Raw genomic sequence first — 27,138 nt, 5'->3', positions numbered from 1 at the left:
TTGGCTGTGGGTTTGTCATAAATAGCTCTTGTTATTTTAAGATATGCTCCATCAAAACCTAGTTTATTGAGAGTTTCTAGCATAAAAGCCTGTTGAATTTTGTCTAAGACCTTTCCTGAATCTATGAGATAATCATGTGGTTTTTGTCATTGGTTCTGTTTATGTGATACATTACATTTACTGATTTGCGTAAGTTGAACTGGCCTTGCATCCCAGGGATGAAGCTGACTTGATCGTGGTAGATGAGCTTTTTGATGTGCTGCTGGATTCAGTTTGCCAGTGTTTTATTAAGGATTTTCACATTGATGTTAGGGATTTTGTTGTGTCTCTGCCAGGCTTTGGTATCAGGATGATACTGGGCTTATAAAATGAGTTAGGGAGGATTCCCACTTTTTCTATTGAATGGAATAGTTTCAGAAGGGATGGTACCAGCTCCTCTTTGTACCTCTGGTAGAATTTGGCTGTGAATCTGTCTGGTCCTGGAGTTTTTTTGGTTGGTAGGCTATTAATTATTGCCTCAATTTCAGAACCTGTAATTGGTCTATTCAGAGATTCAACTTCTTCCTGGTTTAGTCTTGGGAGGGTGTATGTGTCCAGGAATTTATCCATTTCTTCTAGATTTTCTAGTTTATTTGTGTAGAGGTCTTGATAGTATTCTCTGATGGTAGTTTATATTTCTGTGGGATTGGTGGTGATATCCCCTTCATCATTTTTTATTGCATCTATTCATTTCTTCTCTCTTTTCTTCTTTATTAGTCTTGCCTGTGGTCAATCTATTTTGTTGATCTTTTCAAAAAACCAGCTCCTGGATTCCTTGATTTTTTTGAAGGGTTTGGTTTCCATGTAGTTGTGCAGTTTTGAGTGAGTTTCTTAATCCTGCATTCTAGTTTGATTACACTGTGGTTTGAGAAACTGTTTGTTGTGATTTCTGTTCTTTTAGATTTGCTGAGGAGTGTTTTACTTCCAATTATGTGGTCAATTTTAGAAGAGTGTGATATGGTGCTGAGAAGAATGTATATTCTGTTCATTTGGGGTGGAGAGTTCTGTAGATGTCTATTATGTCTGCTTGGTCCAGAGCTGAGTTCAAGTCCTGGATATCCTTGTTAATTTTCTGTCTCATTGGTCTGTCTAATATTGACAGTGGGGTGTTAAATTCTCCCATTATTATTGTGTGGGAGTGTAAGTCTTTTCATAGATCTCTAAGAACTTGCTTTATGAATCTGCTTGCACCTGTATTTGGTGCATATATATTTAGGATAGTTAGCTCTTCTTGTTGAATTGATCCCTTTACCATTATGTAATGCCCTTCTTTGTCTCTTTTGATCTTTGTTCATTTAAAGTCTGTTTTATCAGAGACCGGGATTGCAAACCCTGCTTTTTTTTTTTCCATTTGCTTGGTAGATCTTCCTCCATCCTTTTATTTTGAGCCTATGTGTGTCTTTGCATGTGAGATGGGCCTCCTGAATACAGCACACCGATGGGTCTTGACTCATCATCCAATTTGCCACTCTGTATCTTTCAATTGGGTCATTTAGCCCATTTACATTTAAGGTTAATATTGTTATGTGTGAATTTGATCTTGCTATTATGATGCTAGCTGGTTATTTTGCCCATTAATTGATGCAGTTTCTTCATAGCATTGATAGTCTACAATTTGGTAAGTTTTTGCAGTGACTGGTCCCAGTTTTTCCTTTCCATGTTTAGTGCTTCCTTCAGGAGCTCTTGTAAGGCAGCCATGGTGGTGACAAAATCTCTCAGCATTTGCTTGTCTGTAAAGGATTTTATTTCTCCTTCGCTTATGAAGCTTAGTTTGGCTGGATATGAAATTCTGGGTTGAAAATTCTTGCCTTTAAGAAAGTTGAATATGTCTTGCCCCCAGAGGTGGAATCTAGAGAGGCAGTAGGCCTTGCTGAGCTGCAGTGGGCTCTGTCCAGTTCGAGCTTCCCTGCTGCTTTGTTTACACTGTAAGGATAGAACTGCCTACTCAAGCCTCAGTAATGGCAGACTCCCCTCTCCCCACCAAGCTCCAGCATCCCAGGTCGATCTCAGACTGCTGTGCTAGCAGCAAGCAAGGCTCCATGGGCATGGGACCCACTGAACCAGGCACGGGAGGGAATCTCCTTGTCTGCCAGTTGCAAAGACCATGGGAAAAGTGCAGTATTTGGGCAGGAGTGTACCATTCCTCCAAGTACAGTCACTCATGGCTTCCCTTGGCTAAGAGAGGGAAATCCCTCAACCCCTTGTGCTTCCTGGGTGAGGCAACACCCTACCCTGCTTTGGCTTGCCCTCCATGGCCTGCACCCACTGTCCAACCAGTCCCAGTGAGATGAACCAGGCACTTCAGTTGGAAATGCAGAAGTCACCTGTCTTCTGCGTCAATCTCACTGGGAGCTGTAGACTGGAGCTGTTTCTATTCGGCCATGTTGTAAGCAACCTCATGTTGCTTCTTATGCTGTGTGAAATAATTTTTCTTTGTCTCTGACCCAAGAGTTTCATGTCTTCTGTCAGCATTCATGAAAGAGTAATCTACTAATCCATTAGCTTCTAAATAGGGTAAAATAAAAAAAAATTTTTTTTTGAGGTGGAGTCTCACTCTGTTGCCCATGCTGGAGTGGAGTGACATGATCTCGGCTCACTGCACCCTTTGCCTTCTGAGTTCAAGCTGATTCTCCTATCTCAGCCTCCCAAGTAGCTGGGACTACAGGCGCACACCACCTCACCCAGCTAATTTTTGTATTTTCAGTAGAGACAGGGTTTCGCCATGTTGGCCAGGCTGGTCTTGAACTCCTGACCTCAAGTGATCCACCTGCCTTGGCCTCCCAAAGTTCTGGGATTACAGGCATGAGCCATCATGCCCAGCCAAAATAAAATTATTGAACTAACAGGTATATACCAGTAGAAATGTAAACATACATACACCAGGATGTACAAAAAAATGAATGTAATCAGACTATTAGTGACAGCCACAAATCCAAAACAATGCAAATAGAAGAGTAAATTGTGAAGTATTACCATGTTAACTGAAAACAAATCACACAACTTATAAATTTGGAGAAAGGATTTTATTTCTTATAAAGAGTTATAGGCTGCAAGGTGGCCATCCTGCAGGCTCAGAAGAGTAGCCTCTGGCAAAGACCAGAGACAGGTACTTCAAAGGAGGAGGGGTTGAGGGAGGAGCTTTATGCTGAACCAGTTGCCTAAACATAGGTATCCAACAGCCTGTAGGAGAAGCTATGAATATTCACAAAGGTGGTCCTGAGGCATGTGTATTGAACAAACATGCATGTTACATACAACTCATGTTCACTTTGGAGTGGAGACTGAACATTTAAACGTATTACAATTAGACCCTATACATCAAAAGGTCTTTTCAGGACATGAAGGCACTGACATATGCAGCCTCATGAAACTGTCCAGAACCAATCCATAGTCTCCAGTCTTCTTATCAGGAGACAGTTACTGAAATCAATCTCTTGTCCAATCAAACCTGCAGTTATGGTTTATGGAACAGGGGCTGGAGGGATCAGTTAGTCGGCATCTGGGGAAGGTGCAATTGCTTCAGCATTGCTTATCTCAAGGCCAATGCTTGTTTAGCTGCCAGAGAAAAAGAAAAATCTTGTGGTAGTTGACATAGTTTATTCTTTAAGTGTAGGGGTGTGACATGGTCTTAGGTCATGTTTATAATTTGGTATCTTATTGCCACAAAGAGTTCATTCTATTAACCTCATTTCTATTTTAACATGAATGCTGATCAGTTGTTGTGTCTAAACCACAAAAGGGAGGGGTTATAACGAGCTGCGTCTGACCTTCCATCCTGCTATGGCCAGGAACTCAGTTTTTAAGGTTTCTCTGGGGTCCTCTCGGCTAAAAGGGGGTTCATTCAGTCGGTTTGGGGGCTTTAGATTTTATTTTTAGTTTACAATCACAATGTAATATATTATACAGCAATGAAAATAAATAAGCTAATGCTGCATTGATACATCTCATTAATATAATGTTGAGTTAAAGAAGCCAGTCACATACTATATGATTCTAATCAAATAAAATTTTTAAAAACAAGTAAATTTATGAATTAGATAGAATAGTCATACTTCTGAGGAGAGAAGGTGTTGAGACTGGAAGCATCCTGCAGGTGTCTTCTAGGGTTATGATAATGTATGATAATGTTTGTCTAGGGTTATGATAATGTGTTCTGAATGTCATAGTTCACTGAATGTTACACTTATGATTGTGAACTTTTATATATTTATGTTAGTCTTCTGTTGAAATTTTATTGTAAAAAGGTAACTTTACAATTTCAATAAATACATAAAATACTCTAAAACTAATATACAAAAGATAAGCAAGCTCTTTGTGGAGAATGCTGTGAAACATAATGATGATACAGTGAAGTATACTCACATAAATCAAGACATATGGCATTTATATAGATTGCAATATATAAATTCTATCATGATTTTCTATATATTAATATACATTCTATCAAAATTCTAACAAGATCCTTTCACGTACTCAAATAAGCTGTTGTCGTAACTTGTATGGAAGATCAGTGGACCAAGAATAACCAAACATTTCTTAAGGGAAACAAAGGTGGAGGTGGGATGGATTTTCCTGTCAAATATAAATATATCATAAAATTATATTAAGGCAATTTTTATATTAATGTACAGTCAATCAACAATGAAAAAATAGACTATTCAGGGGCAAATTCATGGACTTGTGAAAATTTGATTTGTAATAAAGTTGGCACCGTATTTTGAATGAAGGGATAAATTGAGTATTCATGTGGAAAGTCTGGCATACTAAATAAATGATAGAGAAATACTGGTTATGATTACCGGAAAAAATAAATTTAGATTCCTACATCACACTACACAAAAATCAGCTTCAGTTGAATTAAGGACATATATAAAAAGCTAATCTATAAAAGTCTTAAAAGAAAATAGAGACAAATTTTTTGTATCTTTCTGGTGGGGTAGGATTTCTTAAACAAAATACAGAAGTGGGATGGCTGGGTCAAATGGTATTTCTAGTTCTAGATCCCTGAGGAATCGCCACACTGACTTCCACAATGGTTGAACTAGTTTACAGTCCCACCAACAGTGTAAAAGTGTTCCTATTTCTCCACATCCTCTCCAGCACCTGTTGTTTCCTGACTTTTTAATGATCGCCATTCTAACTGGTGTGAGATGGTATCTCATTGTGGTTTTGATTTGCATTTCTCTGATGGCCAGTGATCATGAGCATTTTTTCATGTGTTTTTTGGCTGCATAAATGTCTTCTTTTGAGAAGTGTCTGTTCGTATCCTACGCCCACTTTTTGATGGGGTTGTTTGTTTTTTCTTGTAAATTTGTTTGAGTTCATTGTAGATTCTGGATATTATCCCTTTGTCAGATGAGTAGGTTGCAAAAATTTTCTCCCGTTACTGGGTATATACCCAAAGGACTATAAATCATGCTGCTATAAAGACACATGCACACATATGTTTATTGCGGCACTATTCACAATAGCACAGACTTGGAACCAACCCAAATGTCCAACAATGATAGACTGGATTAAGAAAATGTGGCACATATACACCATGGAATACTATGCAGCCATAAAAAATGAAGAGTTCATGTCCTTTGTAGGGACATGGATGAAGCTAGAAACCATCATTCTCAGCAAACTATCGCAAGGACAAAAAACCAAACACTGCATGTTCTCACTCGTAGGTGGGAATTATTGAACAAAGAGAACACATGGACACAGGAAGGGGAACATCACACACCGGGGACTGTTGTGGGGTGAGGGGAAGGATAGCATTAGGAGATACACCTAATGCTAAATGACGAGTTAATGGGTACAGCACACCAACATGGCACATGTATACATATGTAACAAACCTGCACGTTGTGCACATGTACCCTAAAACTTAAAGTATAATAATAATAAAAAAAAAGAAGTGACTAGAGATAAAGAACAATATATTCAAACTTCAGATCATCATAAGACATCATAATGTTAATAAAATTATAAGAGAAAAACTGGGATAAGATAGATAGCTATATATAACTGAAAACAAATTAGCAAGAAATAAAGAATTCCTATAAACCAATTAGAAAACAACCCACAGACCAATAGAAAAAGAAATGAATAAAAGATATGAAAAGGCATTTCTCATATGAGGAGATAAGATTGCCTGGGAGAAGCTGCCCAGCCTCGTTAGTAATCAAGAATTTGTACTTTAAAACTACAATACCACTACTCGAGCTGCTATTTCACCCCTGTAGATTGTCAAAAGTTAAAAAAGTCTGACAATAAGTGTATTGATTAGGATAAGGAGAAATAAAGACTCTACTATATTGATTAAAATATAATTTGGTACAAACACTTTGTTACAGTCAATATTACTTTGTAGATTGACTATGCCCATATCCTATCACCATATATTTGTACTCCCAAAGGCACACATACACAAAGAAATGTAGGAGAACATGATAGTGTTGATAGCAATTGTAAAATTAGGAAACAACCCAAAAGTCCATAAGCCATAAAACAAATAAATTTTACATCATTATACAATGAAATGGTACATAAACTAAATTATATTAATAAATATTAAGAGTATAACTAATTTATAATGCAAAATTATGAATAAAATATAGCTGCACAAATCAAGATGGAAAAATGTCAAATACTTTGAGGAAAATACATTACAGAGGATGCATAATATATTATTATACTTATATAAAGTACAAAATCAGAGAAAAGTAACCATATGTTACATAAAGGTACATATAAGACTTTTAAAACTTTAAGGAAAAGCAGGTAGTGATTAAACACAAACTTCAGGACATTAGAGACCTTTGGAATGAGAGAGTAGAATATATTATGGGAAAGAAATAGGGTCCTCTGTATTTCTGATGTTCTATTTTTCAAACTGGGATTGTGTATACAGTTATTAATACTATTTATGTACATTATTTTGTATATATGATAAAAATAACAGTAACTTTTAAGAAATAAATTAACAACATGCAGGATGTTACATGTGGTAAGAGAGAAAAGGAGTTTATTGTTGACTTTCATTTTTTTTGTTGTTTTTGTGGGTCTGGAGCTTCAGTTTCTTTCCTCCTGGGCTTCTTCACACACTATGCTGCTTGGGCTTTCTCACAACATGGTGCAGGGTTCCAAGAGCAACCATTTCAAGATACAGGCATTGAAGATAGTTTTTTAAAAAAATTTAAGTTGAGGAATACATGTGCAGGTTTTTAATATAGGTAAATTTGTGTCGTGGGGGTTTGTTGTACAGATTATTTTGCCATCCAGCTATTAAGCCTAGTACCCATTAGTTATTTTTTCTGAACCTCTCCCTCCTCCCACCCTCCACTCTCCAATAGGCCCCAGTGTATGTTTTTCCCTTCTATGTGTCCAGGTGTTCTCATCATTTAGCTCCCACTTATAAGTGAGAACATGTGGTATTTGGTTTTCTGTTCCTGTGTTAGTTTACTAAGGATAATGGCCTCCAGTTCCATCCATATTCTTGCAAAAAACACGATCTTTTTCTTTTTATGGCTGCATAGTATTCCATGGTATATATGTACCACATTTTCTTTATCCAGTCTATCATTGATGGGCATTTAGGTTGATTCCATGTCTTTGCTATTGTCAATAGTGCTGCAATGAACACATGTATGCATATGTCTTATGATAGAATGATTTATATTCCTTTGGGGATATACCCAGTGATGGTATTGCTGGGTAGAATGGTATTTCTGTTTTTCGGTCTTTGAGGAATCACCACATTGTCTTCCACAATGGCTGAACTAATTTACACTCCCACCAACAGTATATAAACATTCCTTTTTCTCCACAACCTCACCAGTATTCATGGACTTGTGAAAATTTGATTTGTAATAAAGCTGGCACCAGCTTTATTTATTTAACTTTTTATTAATAACCATTCTGACTGTTGTGAGATGGTATCTCATTGTGGTTTTGATTTGCATTCCTTAATGATTAGTGAAGTTGAGCTTGTCTTCATATGATTCAACAATCATGAATGTATGTCTTCTTTTGAAAAGAGTATGTTCATCTCTGCCCACTTTCTATGGGGTTATTTGGAGTTTTTTTTTTTTTTTATAAATTTGTTAAAGCTACTTATAGATGCTGGATATTAGAACTTTGTTGGATGCAAAGTTTTCAAAATTTTTCTCCAATTCTGTAGGTTGTCTGTTTACTCTGTTAATATTTCCCTTCACTGTGCAGAAGCTCTTAATTAGATCCCATTTGTCAATTTTTGCTTTTATTGAAATTGCTTTTGGCATCTTTGTCATGAAATTTTTGCCTGTTCCTATGTCCTGAATAGTATTGCATAGGTTGTCTTCCAGGATTTTTATAGTTTTGGGCTTTACATTTTAGTCTTTCATCCATCTTGAGTTAATTTTTGTATATGGCATGAGGAAGGGATCCAGTTTCTATTTTCTGCCTATGGCTTACCAGTTCTCCCAGCACCATTCATTGAAGAGAGGATCTTTCCCCCATTGCTTGTTTTTGTCAAGTTTATCAAAATCCAATAGTTGTAGATGTGTGACCTTATTTCTGTGTTCTCTATTCTGTTCATTTGTCTATGTGTCTGTTTTTGTACCAGTACCATCCTGTTTTGGTTACTGTAGCCCTGTAGTATAGTTTGACATTGAGTAACATGATGCCCTCCAGCTTTGTTCTTTTTGCTTAGACTTTGTTCTTTTTACCTTGGCTATTCAGGCTATTTGGACTCCTTTTTCATTCCATATGAATTTTAAAATAGTTTTTTCTAGTTCTGTGAAGAATAATAATGGTAGTTTAAGAGAAATAGCATTGAATCTATAAATTGCTTTGGGCGGTTATGGCTATTCTTACAATATTGATTCTTCCTATCCAGGAGCATGGAATGTTTTTCCATTTGTTGTGTCATCTCTGATTTCCTTGAGCAGTGTTTTGTAGTTCTCCTTGTAGAGATCCTTCACCTCCCTGGTTAGCTGTATTCCTAGGTATTTTATTCTTTTTGTGGCAGTTGGGAATGGGATTGCATCCTTATTTGACTCTTGGCTTGACTATTGCTGGTGTATAGGAATGTCAGCGATTTTTGCACATTGATTTTATATCCAGAAACTCTGCTGAAGTTGTTTACCAGCTTAAGAAGTTTTTGAGCCGAGACGATGGTGTTTTCTAGACAAAGGATTATGTCGTCTTAATTTCAAGTCAAACAGGAAGTGTAGTTTGACTTCCTCTCTTCCTATTTGGATGCCCTTTATTTCTTTCTCTTGTCTGATTGCCCTGGCCAGGACTTCCAAAACTATGTTGAATAGGGGTGGTGAGAGAGGTCATCCTCATTTAGTGCTGATTTTCAAAGGAAATGCTGCCAGCTTTTGCCCATTCAGTATAATGTTGGCTGTAGGTATGTCATAGCTGGCTCTTGTTACTTTAAGGTATGTTCCTTCAATACCTAGTTCATTGAGAGTTTTTAACATAAAGTAGTGTTGAATTTTATCTAAAGCCTTTCCTGAATCTATTAAGATAATCATGTGGTTTGTATTAGTTCTGTGTATGTGATTAATCACATTTATTGATTTGCATATGTTGAACCAATCTTGTATCCCAGTGATAAAACCTACTTGATCATGGTGGATAAACTTTATGATGTGCTGCTGGATTCAGTTTGCCAGTATTTATTTTTTAGGATTTTTGCATGATGTTCATCAAGGATATCAGCCTGAAGTTTTCTTTTCCAATTGTGTCTGTGCCAGGTTTTAGTATCAGGATGATGAGTTAGAATGAGTTAAGAAGGAGTCCCTCTTCCCCATTTTTTTTCAAATAATTTCAGCAGGAATGTATCAGCTATTTTCTGTACATCTGGTAAAATTCAGCTCTGAATCCTTCCAGTTCTGGGCTTTTTTTGGTTGGTATAGGCTATTTATTACTGACTCAATTTCAGAGCTCATTATTGATCTGTTTAGGGATTCAATTTCTCCCTGATTCAGTCTTGGGAGGGTGTGTGTGTCCAGGAATTTATCCATTTCTTCTAGATTTTCTAGTTAATGTGCATAGAGGTGTTTATAATATTTTGTGATGGTTGTTTTTATTTCTGTGGGGTCAGTGGTAATATCCCCCTTGTCATTTCTGATTGTGTTTATTTGAATCTTCTCTCTTTTCTTCTCTTTGAGTCTGGTGAGTGGTCTATTCTATTACTTTTTTTCAAAATACCAGCTCCTGGATTTGTTGATCTTTTGAATGGTTTTGCATGTTTCAGTCTCCATCAGTTCAGCTCTGATTTTGGTTATTTCTTGTCTTATGCTAGCTTTAGGATTTGTTTGCTCTTGAATCTCTAATTCTTTTAGTTGTGAGGTTATTAACTTCAGATCTTTCTAACTTTCTAACTTTTTGATGTGAGAATTTAGTGTTATAAATTTCCCTCTTAACATTGCCTTAGCTGAATCCTAGAGATTCTGGTTTGTTGTATCTTTGTTCTCATTAGTTTCAAAAAACTTCTTGATTTCTGCCTTAGTTTCATTATGTACCCAAAAGTCATTCAGGAGAAGGTTATTCAATTTTCACATAATTGTATGGTTTTGAGTTAATTTCTTAGTCTTAATTTCTAATTTGATTGCACTATGGTCCAATGGATTGTACGCTGTTATGATTTCAGTTCTTTTGCATTTGCTGAGGAGTGTTTTACTTCTAATTATGTAATCAATTTTAGAGTAAGTGCCATGTGGCCATGAGAAGAATGTATATTCTGCTGAATTTGGGTGGAGAATGTAGCTATCTATCAGGTTGCCTTGATTCAGAGGTGAGTTCAGGTCCTGAATATCTTTGTTAATTTTCTGTCTCAACGATCTAATATTGTCAGTGGGGTGTAAAAGTCTCACATTATTATTGTGTGGAAGTCTAAGTCTCTTTGAAGGACTCTAAGAACTTGCTTTATGAATCTGGATGCTCCTGTGTTGGCTGCATATATATTTAGGAAAACTCTTCTTGTTGAATTGAACCCTTTACCATTATGTAATGCCCTTGTCTTTTTTAATCTCTGTTGATTTAAAGACTGTTTTTTTAGAAACTAGGATTACAACCCCTGCTTTTTGATCTCTACCAATTGCTTGTTAGATTTTTCTCCATTCCTATATTTTTAGCCTATGTGTGTCATTACACATGAGATGAGTCTCTTGAAGACAGCATACCAATAGATCTTGCTTCTTTATCCAGCTTGCCACTCTGTGTCTTTTAATTGGAGCATTTAGCCCATTTGCATTTAAGGTTAGCATTGGAATGTGTGGATTTGATTCTGTCATCATGATGTTAGCTGGTTATTTTGCAGACTTGTTTATGTGGTTGCTTTATAGTGTCACTGGTCTTTGTACTTCAGTGTGTTTTTGTAGTGGCTGGTAACCGTCTTTCCTTTCCATACTTAGAGCTTCCTTCAGGAGCACTTGTAAGGCAGGTCTGGTGGTAGTGAATTCCCTAAGCATTTGTCTGTCTGAAAAGGATCCTATTTCTCCCTCACTTATGAAGCTTAGTTTGGCCAAATATGAAACTCTGGGTTGGAATTCCTTTTCTTTAAGAATGTTGAATATTAGCCCCCAATCTCTTCTGGCTTGTAGTCTTTCTGCTGAGTGGTCCACTGTTAGTCTGATGGGTTTCCCTTTGTAAGTGATCTGACCTTTCTTACCAGCTGCATTTAACATTTTCTTTCTTTCATTTCAACCTTGGAGAATCTGATAATATGTGTCTTGGGGATGATACTCTTGTAAAGTATCTTACTGGGGTTCTCTGCATTTTCTGAATTTGAATGTTGGCTTCTCTACCTAGGTTGGGGAAGCAACTTGGAAAATATATATTTCAAGATATCATCTCATGGATGACATTGTGAATATGGATCATTCCTATCCATATTCTCAATTATATTTCTGTTATTTCAGCCATCTCAGTTTGGCTCAGAACCCTTGCTGGAGACATGATGTGGTCACTTGGAAGAAAGAAGATACTCTGGCTTTTTGAGTTTTCACAGTTCTTTCACTGATTTTTTATCATCTTTGTGGGCTTACCTACCTTCAATCTTTGAGGTTGCTGACTTTTGAATTTTTTTAATCACATTTGATGACCTTAAGGGTTTGATTTTGGTATAAGGTGGATTTGACTGATTTGCTTCATTTCTGGAAGATTTTAGGAGACCAACCATCAGCCCCCAACTCCTGGACTGCATGCCCTAATTCTAGGGTACTTGTATTGGGCCCTGACTTTGTTCTCTGTCTCCTCAAAGTTTGGAATCCATTGTGCTGGAGCTGGGGGGTGGGGGGACTGAGATGTAGCAGTTGTGGCAGAGTACCAGCAGGTGCCAGGATGTTTGCCTCCCTCCCTGCAGGCATTCATCACAGTGGCAGAGGCAATGCAACTGGTGGGAGGAGTGTGGGGAAAAGCGGGAGAAGGGCCCTTGCTGGAGACTGTGTGCTGTTGCACTGGAGGTAGTGTTAACTTGGAGTGTGATGTTGGCGGGCATAGGTCTGGGTGCCTTCCCTGTGCCCCATGAGCAGGAATGATCACTCAGGGTAGAGGATGATCTGCTGTTATCTTCACAATGTTAGCGCAAGGGCAGGGCACTTGTAGGGTTGGGTCTTACTGGCTCTGTGCCCACCAAGGCTCTATCTGCAGTGGCAGTCAGGTGGGGGACAGACTGCACTCCTGCATTCTGGTAGGGCAAGGAAAGCAAAACCTGCCCATGCAGATATGAGCCAACAGATTTATGTGAGGAGTTGCCATTGGCCCAGGAAAAGCTGCAGTATGAGGAGGGAGCAGGTGAGCTGGTACATAGCCATAGGGGCCACCTTGCTGGAGCTTTCCACTAGTCAGGCACAGTCCATCAGCTCAGAAACTACACTGTGGGCTCCCAAAACACCCAAGACTACCCTGCAAGCAGGCATGATCAGGCTGGGGCCCCTGGAGAGGTCAGCAGACCAACGGGCGCTCAGGTTGAAACAGCCGCAACTGATGGGCTAGACCACCATGTAAAGATCAGGTCCGACAGTTCCCCTAGGACTAAAATCTCCTATAGGAGCAAGTTGAGCCTAGGAGTTGGCCATCCCTGGCTATGCTCCACAATAGCCACTTCCACACCAAACCCTCTGGGCTCCATGTCAGCTGGTTTACTGCCCCTAACACTTCTCTAAGCAGCTCTCCCTGCCAACTTGAGTGTCTGTGGTGGTGAAGGGATCTTATCCTATCAGGGTTCCAGAGGCCCATGGTGAGAGTGGGTTGCTTCTTGCCAGTTCAACTCCCCTGTTCTGCCAGAGCTATTGTGAACCAAAAATGAGTCCTGGTGCATGGTCATCCCATGCAGGTTCCCAGCTTTCTCCCCTTTCAGCCCAGCTTCTGTGTCTTCCCCCTATCCACTCTCAGCACCTTCCTTCTGAAGATCTGTTAAAAGCACTCAAGTCATCTCAGTGTCCCGGTGGGAGCTGTTCCACCTGATTGCATCTTGTCATCCATCTTGCTCTCCTCCTTTGTCAGTTTCTTAAGGTCTAGTCCCAGAAGCTGACACAATGTCATATTACATTCATCAGGCAGTCAGACTCAGATTAAGGAAAGGGGATATAGGCTTCATCTTTTGACAAGGAAGAGTGTCAAAATACATTGTGACTGTGACTTAAAATCTGCCACCAGTTCACCCATGACCACAAATTAATTTATATTCTACCCACATGCAAAATACACTCATACCCTCCCAACACCCCTCCACTCTCAAGAGCCTTATTTATTACAACATCAAGCTTAGGCTCCAGCTTCAGGATCATGTCATGTACCTCAGGTCCAGGTGCAAATGTGGTTCCTCAGTCACAGCTCCTCTGAAACTGAAGACCTATGGATTAAAGAGACATATTTCTCCACCACCCATACAGCCAGCATAGGACACCCACAATAAATATTCCCATTCACAAAGGGTGAAAATGATTGTGATAGTGGCTGGTTCATGACTGGTGCTGGCATATGCTGCCACTTCCTTATCAGAGCCTGGCCCTGGTCCCCAAGAATGATTAACTGTGGCTACTAGATCTACCCTCTGGGTTCTTGGTCCTGTCCTTTTCCATAATAAAAATGAGTTTGCAACTGAATTTCCTTCTCAGCTGCTTCTTGTCCATAATAAGTTGGAAGCCTAAAAGCTCTTTTCATTTTGTACTATCTCTGTTCTTTAGAGTTAAAGCTGGTAGTGCTTCCTCCAGAACAATTATATTTAAATCTGTAAATTTCTATGACTCTTACTGAGTTCACTCCACTAGATAAAAGTTATATCCCAAAATCTATTTGAGATAAACTCTTTCTATTATGGATAATTGAAGGGCAATGTCCTTAATATTCTTAGAAGTACTACTGTTTGATAGAAAAAGCCTGTGAGGTGTGTCTTTAACATCTTTTGAAAATCTTGTGTCTGCTTGAAAGGCTTTATAAGGCTTTGGCTTAAATCTTATAATTTCTTAACATAGGGTCTTATAAGATCACCATAGATTTGACCTTTTATTGGAAGCCATTTTAATCTGAGAATTTTTTGTTATGTAGAGAAGCTGGGAATAAGAGGCTTTTATTTTTCATGTAGCAGATCTTGGATTATTTATATTTCCTCTAAATTTCCTCAAAAACTCAATGGTTTCTTTTTTAGTACATCTCTGTCCTCTTTAAAGTTATAGTAGACAGCCAGATGAAGCCAAGCAGGACCTTTAACACTTTGCCTGAAAATCTTCTTAGCTAGCTAATCAAATTCAGTAGGCGTGTTCTGTTTCCACATTTCTACAGGTGATGATGTTACCAAACTATCTACCATTATATACCAAGAGTCTCTTTTCTACCAGCTTTCAAAAATATTTTCCTTACTTTATTTTAAACTCTCACCAACATTGTTGTGAAGCCCTTCAGACCTCTACTAACATTCTCTTTAACACTTAAGGCTTTTACTAACAGTCTTCTTGAGATTTTCAAGGCTTCCATAAACAAGTTTCTCAGTGCCCTTCCAGCTTCTGATGGACATCCAGGCCAAAATCAATGCCACAGTTTTTAGGTTTTTGTTACAGCAGAGTACCACTTCTATCACCAATATCTGCATCAGTTTTGTATTGCTGCATAACAAACTACTCCAAAACTTAATGGCTTACACAACAATAATAACTTGTTTTGTTCACAAGTATGCAATTTGGGCAGGGCTCAGTGAGGACAGTTCACCTTTCATCTATACCATATGATGTGGAGCAGCTCACCTAGAGATGGAGGATCCACTTTCAATACTGCTCCTCAAATGGCTGGCAAATTAGTGTTGTCTGTTGATTCTTCTCCAGATAAACCTCTCCACAACCCAGTTTGGGCTTCCTCACAGAATGGCTCCTGTATTCCATTGAACGAGAATAAAAGCTGCCATTTTCTTAAGACCCTGTTCTAGAAATTAGCGGCATATTTTGTTGGTCAAGCATTCAGAGTGAAAAGTTGTAGGAATAGGACATATGCTCCAAATCTCAATTAAAGAAGAGTAAAAAAATTAGAGGTCATAATTACCTTTCTATTTGTCTCCTTTTCATTGTCAAACATTCACAGTTTTTGATCCTTGCTTTCTCCTGTTCCTCATCTATCGCTTATTCTTTAATTTGGTAACCTGGCCTCTAGTAATCCTCAGCTACACTGAAAACTACTCTTTACCTTAGTCATCAGTATTTCTCATCCCATGTCACTAAATTAAAAGGGCGCTTTTCAATTATTTTGTTTGGCATCTCAGCAGTCATTGACATTGTTGTATTCACTTTTCCTTATAAATCTCTCCCTACTGATTTCTGTGTCTCCAAGCCTCTCTTGGTTTTCTCTCTATTCATTTTTTAATAAAGAGGTGTGTTTTTCTTAATTTTGAGTGTGGTTCATAAGCGAGGCTAGCTAAATTACTTTAAGGTCTATGCAAGGACATTTGTGGCAAATTAGTGTGGAAAAACTGATTTGTATTTAATCTAACTCTAAAATTTACAAATGTCATTGCCAATTCAGCTTCTAATGACAGGTTGATATTTAATGATTTTATTGTCTATTTTTGTCTGTCAAATTATTTTTTCTTATGTGCTAGCTATGTAATCAAATGTAATGATAGTTTCTGAAGTGTCATGAAAGTAGTTGATTGAATTCTAAGGTGTTTTGATTTTAAAATTCTTCTGTTCTCACTCTGTGGGTTGAGAGATGCAGGAATTCTCCTAGACCAGATTTCTGACCTGCAGAGCAGAGGCTCAAACATCCTCAAGGAGCAAATCACTAAACTATTAAGCAAGAACTTTGAAAGGAATCAATATTTATAATGGATCTTAATGGCTCACTCATGCTAGAAGGACACAGAAATACTCTTTGTATTTCATACTTATTAAATGTGTGTTTGTTTGCTTATATATTAATCTATTTTTTCTCATAATTAAGACCACATACAAAAATATATTCAATAATAAAAAAAATCACAGGGGGAAATGGTGTATGTTATCCAAAGACGCAATAGCATATTATCTTTATTTAAGACAGATCCTGTGTTTTAAAAAGAAGTGTTATTCTCAATGTAAAGTAAAAGTACGCAAATGTATCATTGGAGATAAGAGGGCTAACATATGCTAATTGACTATGCCTAACAGGAAACATAATTATTTTTGAGATGGGGTCTTGCTATGTTGCCCAGGCAGAAGTCAAACTTCAGGACCCTAGTGATCCTCCTGCCTCAGCCTTCCAAGTAGCTAGGACTAAAAGTGCATGCCATCACACCCAGGAAGAAACATAATTTTGATCTTGAAATAATATATCTACTTAATGCTTTAACCCATTAACAATATTAAAACTTACAAATAATCCAACACTTTTTTTTATTGAACATCCCAGACTACTGCTGGGATACAGTGAACAAAAGTATAAGATCCCAGCCCTGCAGAAACTCACCTGATAGTCATTATAAGTTCTTTGATTAGATAAAAGAAGTAGATCTCTATGTTTTAAACTGTGATATAGACTTTTTAAAAATTTGCTTTTATTTTAGAAGTATATAATAGTTTGTGGAATGTTCTGAGTTAATAATCCATTTTGAAGTACTTCTCGTGTGTAATCTTTTAAAATTTTTATTTATTCTATTTTATTTTGCTTTTGTAATTTTATTTTGTGGTAGGAAATTAAAAGAGCCTAAAATAAAGACAAATACTATATTAATAATATTACTGCTATGCCACAAAAGTTTTCTTACATATTTAGAGACAAGAAATGTTTTCCAACTCAAATAAATTTATATTAAAATATCTTACATGAATTATTAGTATTATTTCATTTCTTTCATGAGCCAACAATGAGGTCATTCTGTAGAGGAACAAGGCCAGATTATTATCTTAGACTCTGCAAAGAGAAAAATATGAAAATCTAAGTATTAGGTAGCACTCATGCTTATTTAGGAAGGAACCCATAGTTCAAAGCAAATAAGTGTTCTTGATTATATTATTAAAGCCCAAAGTAAACAGTAACCTACTTTTCCTTTAAAATTTTATCCAAAATTAATCTAGAAACATTCAATTTCAAACATAAGGGAATAATATAACTGTAATTAGGTTATAATGTCAAAAGTACCCATGCAGAAATTAATAGCTTTACCATTTGTAAGTTAAAAGAATCCTGTCCCATTTTATCTAAAATCAGGCCGGGCATGGTGGCTCATGCCTGTAATCTAGGCACTTTGGGAGGCTGAGGCAGGAGTATTACCTGAGGTCAGGAGTTCAAGACCAGCTTGGCCAACATGGAGAAACCCCGCCTCTACTAAAAATACAAAAATTAGCTGTGGTGGCAGGTGCTTGTAATCCCAGTTATTGGGAGGCTGAGGCAGGAGAATCGCTTGAACCCATGAGGTGGAGGTTGCAGTGAGCTGAGATCGTACCACTGCACTCCAGCCTAGGCAACAGAGTGAGATTCCATCTCAAAAATAAATAAATAAATAAATAAATAAATAAATAAAAATCAATTAAAATATGACTCTGCCTTCTAATATTTTTCATGAAGGGATGATTTTGCTAGTTTTTAATTCATTAATACACTGTAAATTGTCTTTCAAGAGGATCATGAAAATTTTAACTCTTTAGCTAGTCTGGAATTCAGTCTTCCCAAACCCTAAATTCATTTTAGGGAATTCATATAACCATAACTACATTTGAATAGTGATTTAAACCCTATCTCCTCCATATACATTGATTTTTTTCCCCAATTATCAGGTTTCAGCATCATCCAGATTAGATAGTTCCAGAAATCCAGATTGAGAAAAACTATCAAGACAAAAACAAACAAAAAATCCTCCATAGTGGGCTTGAAATGAACCCAAGAGATGAAACTTTCATTTGAATTTTTGCTTTCTTTAAACATCTACTTGCCAACATGATGTGGTGAAGGTCAATTGCTATGAAGAAAGTTAATTTGCGAAAGAATGAAAACCAGTGGAAAAAAATGTTTTCCAAAATAAAGTCCAGAGGCCTAACTAATTTACATTGATTCTATAGGTCTTGTGAGGAAAAAAAGTGGGGGTGGGGGACAAATATGTAATTTGGGGTTAATGTCTGCCAACCTGAATGATGACATTTGTAAGGACTTAATTTTTTAATTGCAGTTAACTGTTGGAAAATGAACTGGCTTTTTTTGTTTTTGTTTTTTTGGCAACTACAATGTATCCCTACATCTTTCTGTGCTTTCTTCTCTCTACAAGAACTGTAGAAGCTTATAAACAATGTTTCCAAGATTCTTTTATTCCTAGGATTCTAGTTGCATTTCCCATTCTGCCAAAAAAAAAAAAAGTTGCTCAAATCTAGTAAGAGACATGGGCCTTGGAAAACAAGAGTTTTGTGGGAGCCTCTGGCGTTAGGCATTGCCCTGTGAATGGCCTATGTGAGCGCTCCAGCAACTGGGACATTTGGTAGCAGTTTGGCACCATTCCTAACCTGGGTGTCCAGAGAAACTTCCTGATTCTTTGGAAACCCATGGTAGTCTGGAGAGCTGATATTGTCCTCTCCATTCTTAAATGATGTTTAATACACCAAACTCCTTAGGTTAAATCGCTTTCTGCTTCGAATATCTAGAAACACTATTTCTTTCTCAATAAAACTCTGACTAAAAAAGAGTACTTGTGGCTTCTATACATTGCGGCTTATCAACAATGACTTGCTTTAATGAATCAGTCTGCCAGAGGCCTAACTAGAAATAAGGAAGGCATGAGAGAGTGAATGCATGCTCACTTGAGCTTTCTGATTCCCTTCTAAAGCTGAATAAATACAACATTCTAATTACTTGAAAGTAATGTTTGTATTGACAAAAAATTCACGTAACATAAATTCATCATTTTAACCTTTTAAAAATATACAATGAATTGATCTTGGTATACTCACAATATTGTACAATCACCTATCTAATTCCAGAGCTTTTTCATCACTCCAAGAGAAACCACATATATGCACTGTCCCTTGGTCATCACTAGTCTACTTTGTGTGTCTGTGGATTTTCCTATTGTTGACATTTCATATAAATGGAATTATACAATAGTGGCCATTTGTGACTGGCTTCTTTCACGTAGCATAATGTTTTCAAGGTTCATCCTTGTGGAAGAATGCATCAGTACTTCATTCCTAAAATGGTTGAATCATATTCTGTTAAGTGGATATACCACATTTGGTTAATCCATTCATCATTTGATGAACATTTGGATTGTTTCCACATTTTGGCTATTATAAATAATGATGCTGTAAATGTTTGAGTATAAGTTTTTCTGTGAACATATGCTTTCAGTTCTCTTGGGTATATATTGAGGCATGGAATTACTGGATCATATGGTAGCTCTGTGTTTAACTCTTTGAGTAACTGCCAAACTGTTGTCCACAGTGCCTGCATCATTTTATAGCCTCACCAGCAATATATGAAAGTGTTTCCACATCCCTACCACACTTGTTATTTTCCTATACATAAATATAGGAAATAGTGTTCAGTGGTACCTCAAATCTCACTGTGGTTTTGATTTACATTTTTCAAATGACTAATAATGTTGAACATTTTTTCATTTACTAATTGGTCATTTGTATATTTTCTTTGAAGGAACATCTATTCAAATACTTTGACAAATTTTTAATTGGGTTGTTTTTCTTTATATTGCTGAGTTATGAGTTCTTGATATGGTCCAGATACTAGATCTTTATCAGACATATAATTTTAAAAGATTTTTCTCCCATTCTGTGGGTTTTCTTTTTACTTTCTTGATAGTGTCTTTTGATGTACAAAAGTTTTTAATTTCAATGAAGTCCAGTTATCTCTATCTACTTTTGTTATTTGTGCTTTTTGTATCATATTTAAGAAGACATTGCTTAATTCAAAGTCAAGAAGATTTACATTTATGTTTTCTCCTAAAAATTGTATGGTTTTGTTTTATACATTTAGATATTTGATACATTTTGAGGAACAAATTCGATACATTTTGAGGAACAAATACTTACTTTCACTGGTATTATTTTGTTTTCTATTCTGTTTATGCTCTCCATTACTACAGATAATTAAGAATTAATTTTATTCTGAAATCCTGCTGATTAAGGAAGCTTTGAAGAATGCAGGTGTCAATGCCAAAAGAGTAAATCCAAGCATAATGACTCAAAAAACAAAGTGCTACTAGTTAAACATAAAAATCTGAAGTCTTTCTTTAATGTTATTTAAAATTTCAAATGCATATATGTTTTTCTTGTATGACATATAATTGTAACATCTGAAGCATTTTTCACACTAGATTAAAAACCCCTAGTCTTTTTTCTTTGATATTCCAACCCCAGCTGTAAGATTCTTATATACAGTACCTAGAAATGGGATCTTTCCCAGGATTCTGGGTTGAAAATTTGTTGCTTTACACAATATAAAATACCAACCATATAATTACATTTTTTTTGTGAATTCAGGAGTTTTCGTCTTGAGTCAGACCCAAAGTTCATCATGCCAGCATTCTGTGAACAGTGGTTTTAAACAGTGTTTTGTTGAAAAGCAATGGTGTAACTTCTCTCAATATCAGCTTTAACAATTATGTATACCCAAATTTTTGTTAAGTAGTCATTTTTAGCTCTGTTATTTGTAATACTCTTCCAATTTTTTCAAAATCACTTAGTTATTGCTATGGTTTGAATGTTTATTCCCTCCAAAACTCATGTTGAAATGTGGCAGTGTTGAGAGGTGGGGCTTTTAAGAGGTGATTGGGACATGAAGGCTCTGCCTTCACAAATAGATTAATTCATTCCTAGATTATTAGATTAATGGGTTATCATGGGAGTGGGACTGGTGGTTTTACAAGAAGAGGAAGGGAGATCTGAGCTTGCATACTCAGTTCCCTTGTCATGTGATGCCCTGTGCTGCTTGGGAACTCTCTGCAGAGTCCCCATCAGCAAGAAGGCCATCACCTGATGCAGTCCATCAACCATGAAATTTTCTGCCTCCATTTCTGTAAGAAAAAAATTATTTTTCTCTTTAAATTACCTAATTTCAGGTATTCTATTACAAGCAACAGAAAACTACTAACACTAAGAGGTAAAGTACTTGACCTCTTAATAGGTCTATGTTTGAAGGAAAGGATTCATCTAATTTAAAATTTGTTGGGTTGGAAATACCTACAGCATATTAATTTGGGGTGATTTGTTCATTCATGGAAATGAATCTGATCACAATTGAGTAACATTTAGAATGAGGAAAAAGGCCAAGGGAAAGTCTGCTTGGGTGTGGAATAGATGTTAATATGTAAGTAGCCAAGAGAGGAAGGGGAGCCAGCAACAAAGTTGAGAAAGAAGAGTTGACATAAAGGAAGAACACTAGAATGTGAAATATCCCACAAGCTGGAGAAAAAAGAAATGCAAAACAACCTTAAATATTAAGAAATTTAAAAACAAGAATGTAGTTAAATGTTAACAATTTCCATTAGACTTTGAATAGTGAGACTAGTGGTAATCTTTGCTTGAATTGCTTATTGTGGTATTGTAGAAGTAGATTCTGAACATGAACACAAAATGAAGTCGGGAGAGCATGCATAGACTTATCTTTATCTTCTTAAAATTGGACTTATTTAGCCTGAGAATACTGGGTAAATTCTGGACTACTAGACCTAGCAACCAGAAAGTGCCTCAATACTTCATCTACTTCAACCCCCATGACTATAATGCAAATAAAGACTCTAGATTCTTTACAAAAGATGATGTAATCAAGCCTCAAAGATTTACCCAATGCCAATAGTTAGTTAATGGCTGAATGGAAAGACTAGGGTACCAGGAAGGGAAGTGCCACCAGAGAACATGAGAAGCACATTTCTGTGGTTGATGGATTTCTGGGGATTCATTTTGCTAAATGTTGTTTTGGAAGTTGGAGCTGTGCAATTGCTCATTGTGTATAACATAATGTAAGGTATTTGGACACTGATAACCTAACACAGTTATGCTCTTTAAAGGTTTAAAATGCATTTTCATCTGTATATTTTAGTTATAATGATATGTTGGACTTTTTAAAATCTAAGCATTTACCCCCTCTTTTGAAAATTTATTGTCTACCAAAGGACACACAGTAGATCTAGCTATCTGAGTTAAATGCCTCTGGTTATGAGCCTCCACAGAACCAGAAGCAGGAACAAAATAAGCCCTTTGTACTGCCTATGGCACCACAATAGAGCAGCTACTTGAGCATCAGTATGTTTTGTTGTACAAGGTCTTTATTAGGTCATAACTAAATATGTGTTAAAGCTTTACAAGAAAGAGAAAAATGGAATAAACCTAATAAGCTAACTCTACACAGTGGAAAAATCCTTGATAAAACAGCTTTTAGAATTCAAGTTATTATAAATTTACATAAAAATACTAAAATAATCTAGAAACCTTCTTGGAACAAGATGGCAATTTCAAGGTAGCTACTTACAGGATTCCATTAAATTTCATCTACTCAGCACTGTAAGTGTATACTAGGGTTTTATTCTGTTAATGGGATTTGCTTTGGTTTTAAGACACATCAGTTTCTTAAAGCACCGTATGTAGAAGTAGGCTCCTGCTGTTTTCAAGGTTTTTGCTTTCCTACCCCACCCAAGGAGGACTTTAAGAGAAAGACTAAATAATGAACACATAGAATATGCATCTATGTGAATATATAGCATATAGAGATACCATTCATTTGTTTAGCATTATTAAACCTCTCTCATATACAAAGCATATATTAGGCATTTGGGGGTGACAGATCCATTCAACTAAACAAATAACTATACAACATCTACTATGTTCCAGACACGAATATAAAGATGATTAATCGTGGTCTTTGTTCATAGGGGTCTGATCATCTCTTTTATATGTACTAACTGAAAAAAGAAAAAGTAAAGCAATCATAGTTGCAGATACGCATACTGTAGTTAGCCACTCAAGGGTTTTATTTGCCATGGCATCTGTGAATTACTAATTCGCTGAAGAAGAATGTGAGCATCTCTCTGCTGCTGGTAGGGAGAGTAGTTAGGCTGTGGTTACAATGGTCTAGGCAGGAAACTGCAAATGCCAGAGACAAAGCAATGGAAGTAGAAATAAAAATGGGGGATTATTCAGTTTATATTTAAGTGTTATTATCAATAGGAATTGGTTTTGGATTAGAGACAGTGAAAAGGTGGACTATTCATGTACTGAATTTCACTTGCATTTGGGGCCTTTTTGATCAAGATCTAGCAGTGGCTTCTTGGGGCTCTTTTACTATTTAAAAATTTGATAACAAATATGTATAATCTCCTAGAGAAAGTAGATATACCAAGAAAATTTTGCACATGATATCAAGAACATTATGTTCTCCTTGAAATCCAGCTATGATCTCTTTTGATCTCAAGCATGGTTTATATAAACTTGGATGATTTGGGATTAAATTCCAACTGAAAGAAAATTAATCTTTTCTGCTCTTCCTTTTTATTATTAACAGGTATACATTCATACAATTATATTTATTTGATCTCTTAGGATGTTTTAGGGTCTTCCCATTTATTAATAGTATGCAACATTTCATATTTTGGTAATTGAAACAACTTTCATGAGCCATGCCCATTATACTAGGTACTGCAGACACATCAGTGATCAGAATAGGTGAGATCCTTTGTCATAAAGACTGCAGCATGATTAGAAATGTGGCATATGCTCTGAAAGATAATTGAGGGGTGGTGTGAGGACATTCTCAGTCTAGAGGTAGAGATGGAGGTAGAGAGGTGACAATGTCAGAGAAGGCCAATCTGGGGTAGTGCATGTGCGTACATGAATGAATAAAATAGTGAATGATAAATGAATAAATGAATATTAAGCCCCTATAAGCTCACCTTTTTAAAAATATGTATGTAACACCTTTATTGAGATATAATTCACAGACCATGCAATTTACCCATTTAAATAAGTACACAATTTAATGGTTTTTAGTATATTCATAAAGCTGAACAACTATCCATCACCACAGTCAGTCTTGGAACATATTCAATACCCCAAAAGGAGACTCATATGTATTTACAGTCACTCCGCATTTCCCTCCAGCCCTGAGCCCCTCCCCCACCATCGGCAGGCACTGTTTTCTGAATCTTCAGATTTGTCTATTCTGGACACTTCATATAAATAAAATAATAAAATATATGGTCTTCTGTGCAGACCATATATTTTCAAGGTAAATGTCTTCAACCTAAATGTCTTCAAGGTTCATGCATGCTGTGACATGCATCAGTACTTCATTCCTTCTTATAGCTAGCTACATAGTATTCAGTTGTATGAAGACACAATATTTTGTTTATCCATTCATCAATTGATGGACATGAGGGTCGTTTCTACTTTTTTGGCTATTACAAATAATGCAGTTGTGAACTTTCATGTACATATTTTTGTTTAGGTATATGTTTGTTTACTTGTTTTCTCTTGAATATATACCTTGGAGTGGAATTGCTAGGTCATGTTAACTCTATTTTTACCCTTTTGACAAACTGCCAGACTCTTTTCCGTACCTTTATTTTAAATCTATTACATTTATCTTATTACTTATTTCTCTTACATTGGGTAATAGATCTTTTCTGAAAAAATTCCACTGTAGTTAAATTATTTGCTCATGGAATCTGTGTGTGTGTGTGTGTGTGTGTATGTCCCCTAAAGGAGCTTGATATTTAATGGCATCTGGCTTTTTAACACATATATAAAGCTCTGATTTAGAAAACGGAAAACCCAGATACCAAAGCTGAGTTCTAACACTAACTTATTATGTGACCTGGATATGACTTCTCACCCATAAGGAAGAAAGAAGTTTTTTTTTTTTTTTTTTTGAGAAAAAATGATCTAGCACAATACACACTGGCTAGTGAAGTACATAAGAAGGAAAATTACATCTGGTGCCCTAGATTACACCATGTTTAGACAAGGATGTCCAGAAAACAAACTAACCAAGTACAGATAAATTAAAATTACTTAAGTGGAAGGTCTAACTGGGATATTTGTCATTTAAATTTGATTTATAATCAAAATACACAAGTAATTCAAAGTGAAACTATCATTTTAATCCATCCACTCTCTTTCCCCAGATATTCTTTGGTCAGAGCTTTAGTTCCAGCTTTTCTGTTGCCACATTTTACCTAAGGGTTAAGCAGAACAGGGAAACAGGTAGGAAGATTAAAGAATCTGAACAATCAGTTAACTAATCAGCCACTTAATGTTGATGTTCAGAATTTTAATGCAGAGTCAAGCATTCAACAATGCTGAAATTCCTGGGAAACCAGGTTAGCTGTATTCCTCGAGCTTAGACGGTGTAACATCTGGTATATAGCTGCCATTACTAGTGGTGGGTTGATTTTGTTTTGTTTTGTTTTGTTTTTTAGATAGGCTGATTCTCCAGCCTTTTATTTTTAAAGGAGATAGACTACCTGGAGATGGGAAAAGATGGGCTGGCAAACTGTAATTTTTGAGCTCTTCCTTGTATGGAAAAGAGGGAGATAATATTCAATTAGTATTCAGCATGCATATATTGACAGCCTAGTGCATGCAAAACATTTGTCTGGGAAAGGTGGTGAGTTCAAAGATAAATAATACCCCCTCCTTCCCAAAAACTTATCATCTGAAGCCCACACATAGTTATTATATATGTTGAAAATGTCTAAAGGTCATCATATCAGTAAATAAAGAAGCTAAGGAAATTCAGAGGAAGGAGAAATGACTCCTGCCAGAAGAATCAGAGAAGGGTTTGAAGAGGGGATTTGGTTCCATTTAAAATGAACCTTGGAGGATGGATCATATTCCATCTGGCAGAGGAGGTAAAGCCATTCTAGCCAAAAGGCACATTAGGAGCAAAGGCATATAAAATAAGAAACTCTATCAGGCCTGTTTGGGTAAGAAGAGTTTTATTCAAAAGTATTCAAGAAAAGCCATAGAAAGGATCTTCCACAAATTCTCTGGATATTTCAAATAACATATGAATTGAACAGCCTTCTAAGAATCTTAAAACTCTTTTTCTGCATGACTTTTGGGGGATCCTTTTCTCTTCATTTATTGTCATCCCACTGGAGTAAAATAGAATCTCAAAAGATGGAAAGGGAGATGGTTATGCTTACCATGTGACTTTATGCAAAGAGAAGAATGTTTCTGTCCAGTGGCAATGCCCACATAACATTCCACTATTAAGCCCTTCTTCCTGAAGACAGGGACATCCAGAAAGTATCTTGGATGAATGAATGAATGAATGAAGAGGAGACCAGCAGACCATGGTTTATGGTACAGACAGGAAGTTTAGAGGAACTTCCTTAGAAATGAGTTGTAACATGTTCTGATACTTGCTCTGTGAAATCCCCTGAAGACTGCTTTTGGGGTACCATAGATCATTTTACTACTTCCTATAGAGACCACAGAATTCATGCAGAGCCTGGAGAGATGAAGACAGAAAGGGAGAAAGATCTTCAACAGTTAAATGTTTGCCAATGAAGTAATTTAGCTCTAAACATGCCATTGCCAATACATGAAACTAAACATTTATATTTTCAGTCTGCTTATTGTTTGGCATTGCCATATTTAGAAAAGCAATAGAAAGATGTTCAACATAAAAAATATAATGTATAATCCAAGAGACAGA

General features: G+C 36.5%; 1 long non-coding RNA gene across 1 annotated transcript in view; it reads right to left on the bottom strand.

Annotated features, from left to right (window-relative positions):
• The window catches only part of LINC02355 (long intergenic non-protein coding RNA 2355), a 123,829-nt gene that overhangs the window by 46,286 nt on the left and 50,405 nt on the right, over nucleotides 1–27,138 (bottom strand). The window contains exons 5-9 of the long non-coding RNA NR_125887.1: nucleotides 26,624–26,931; nucleotides 17,307–17,394; nucleotides 16,951–17,187; nucleotides 15,261–15,435; nucleotides 13,818–13,873 (exon numbers count right to left, since the gene is read on the bottom strand). This is a non-coding gene — a long non-coding RNA (long intergenic non-protein coding RNA 2355). The remainder of the gene's footprint in view (nucleotides 1–13,817; nucleotides 13,874–15,260; nucleotides 15,436–16,950; nucleotides 17,188–17,306; nucleotides 17,395–26,623; nucleotides 26,932–27,138) is intronic.

Source organism: Homo sapiens, chromosome 4 (assembly GCF_000001405.40).
Source record: "Homo sapiens chromosome 4, GRCh38.p14 Primary Assembly".
In the NCBI taxonomy this organism is placed as follows: domain Eukaryota; kingdom Metazoa; phylum Chordata; class Mammalia; order Primates; family Hominidae; genus Homo; species Homo sapiens.
The sequence above is the reverse complement of the archived record's forward strand: the minus strand, read 5'-3'. Positions and strand labels throughout refer to the sequence as shown.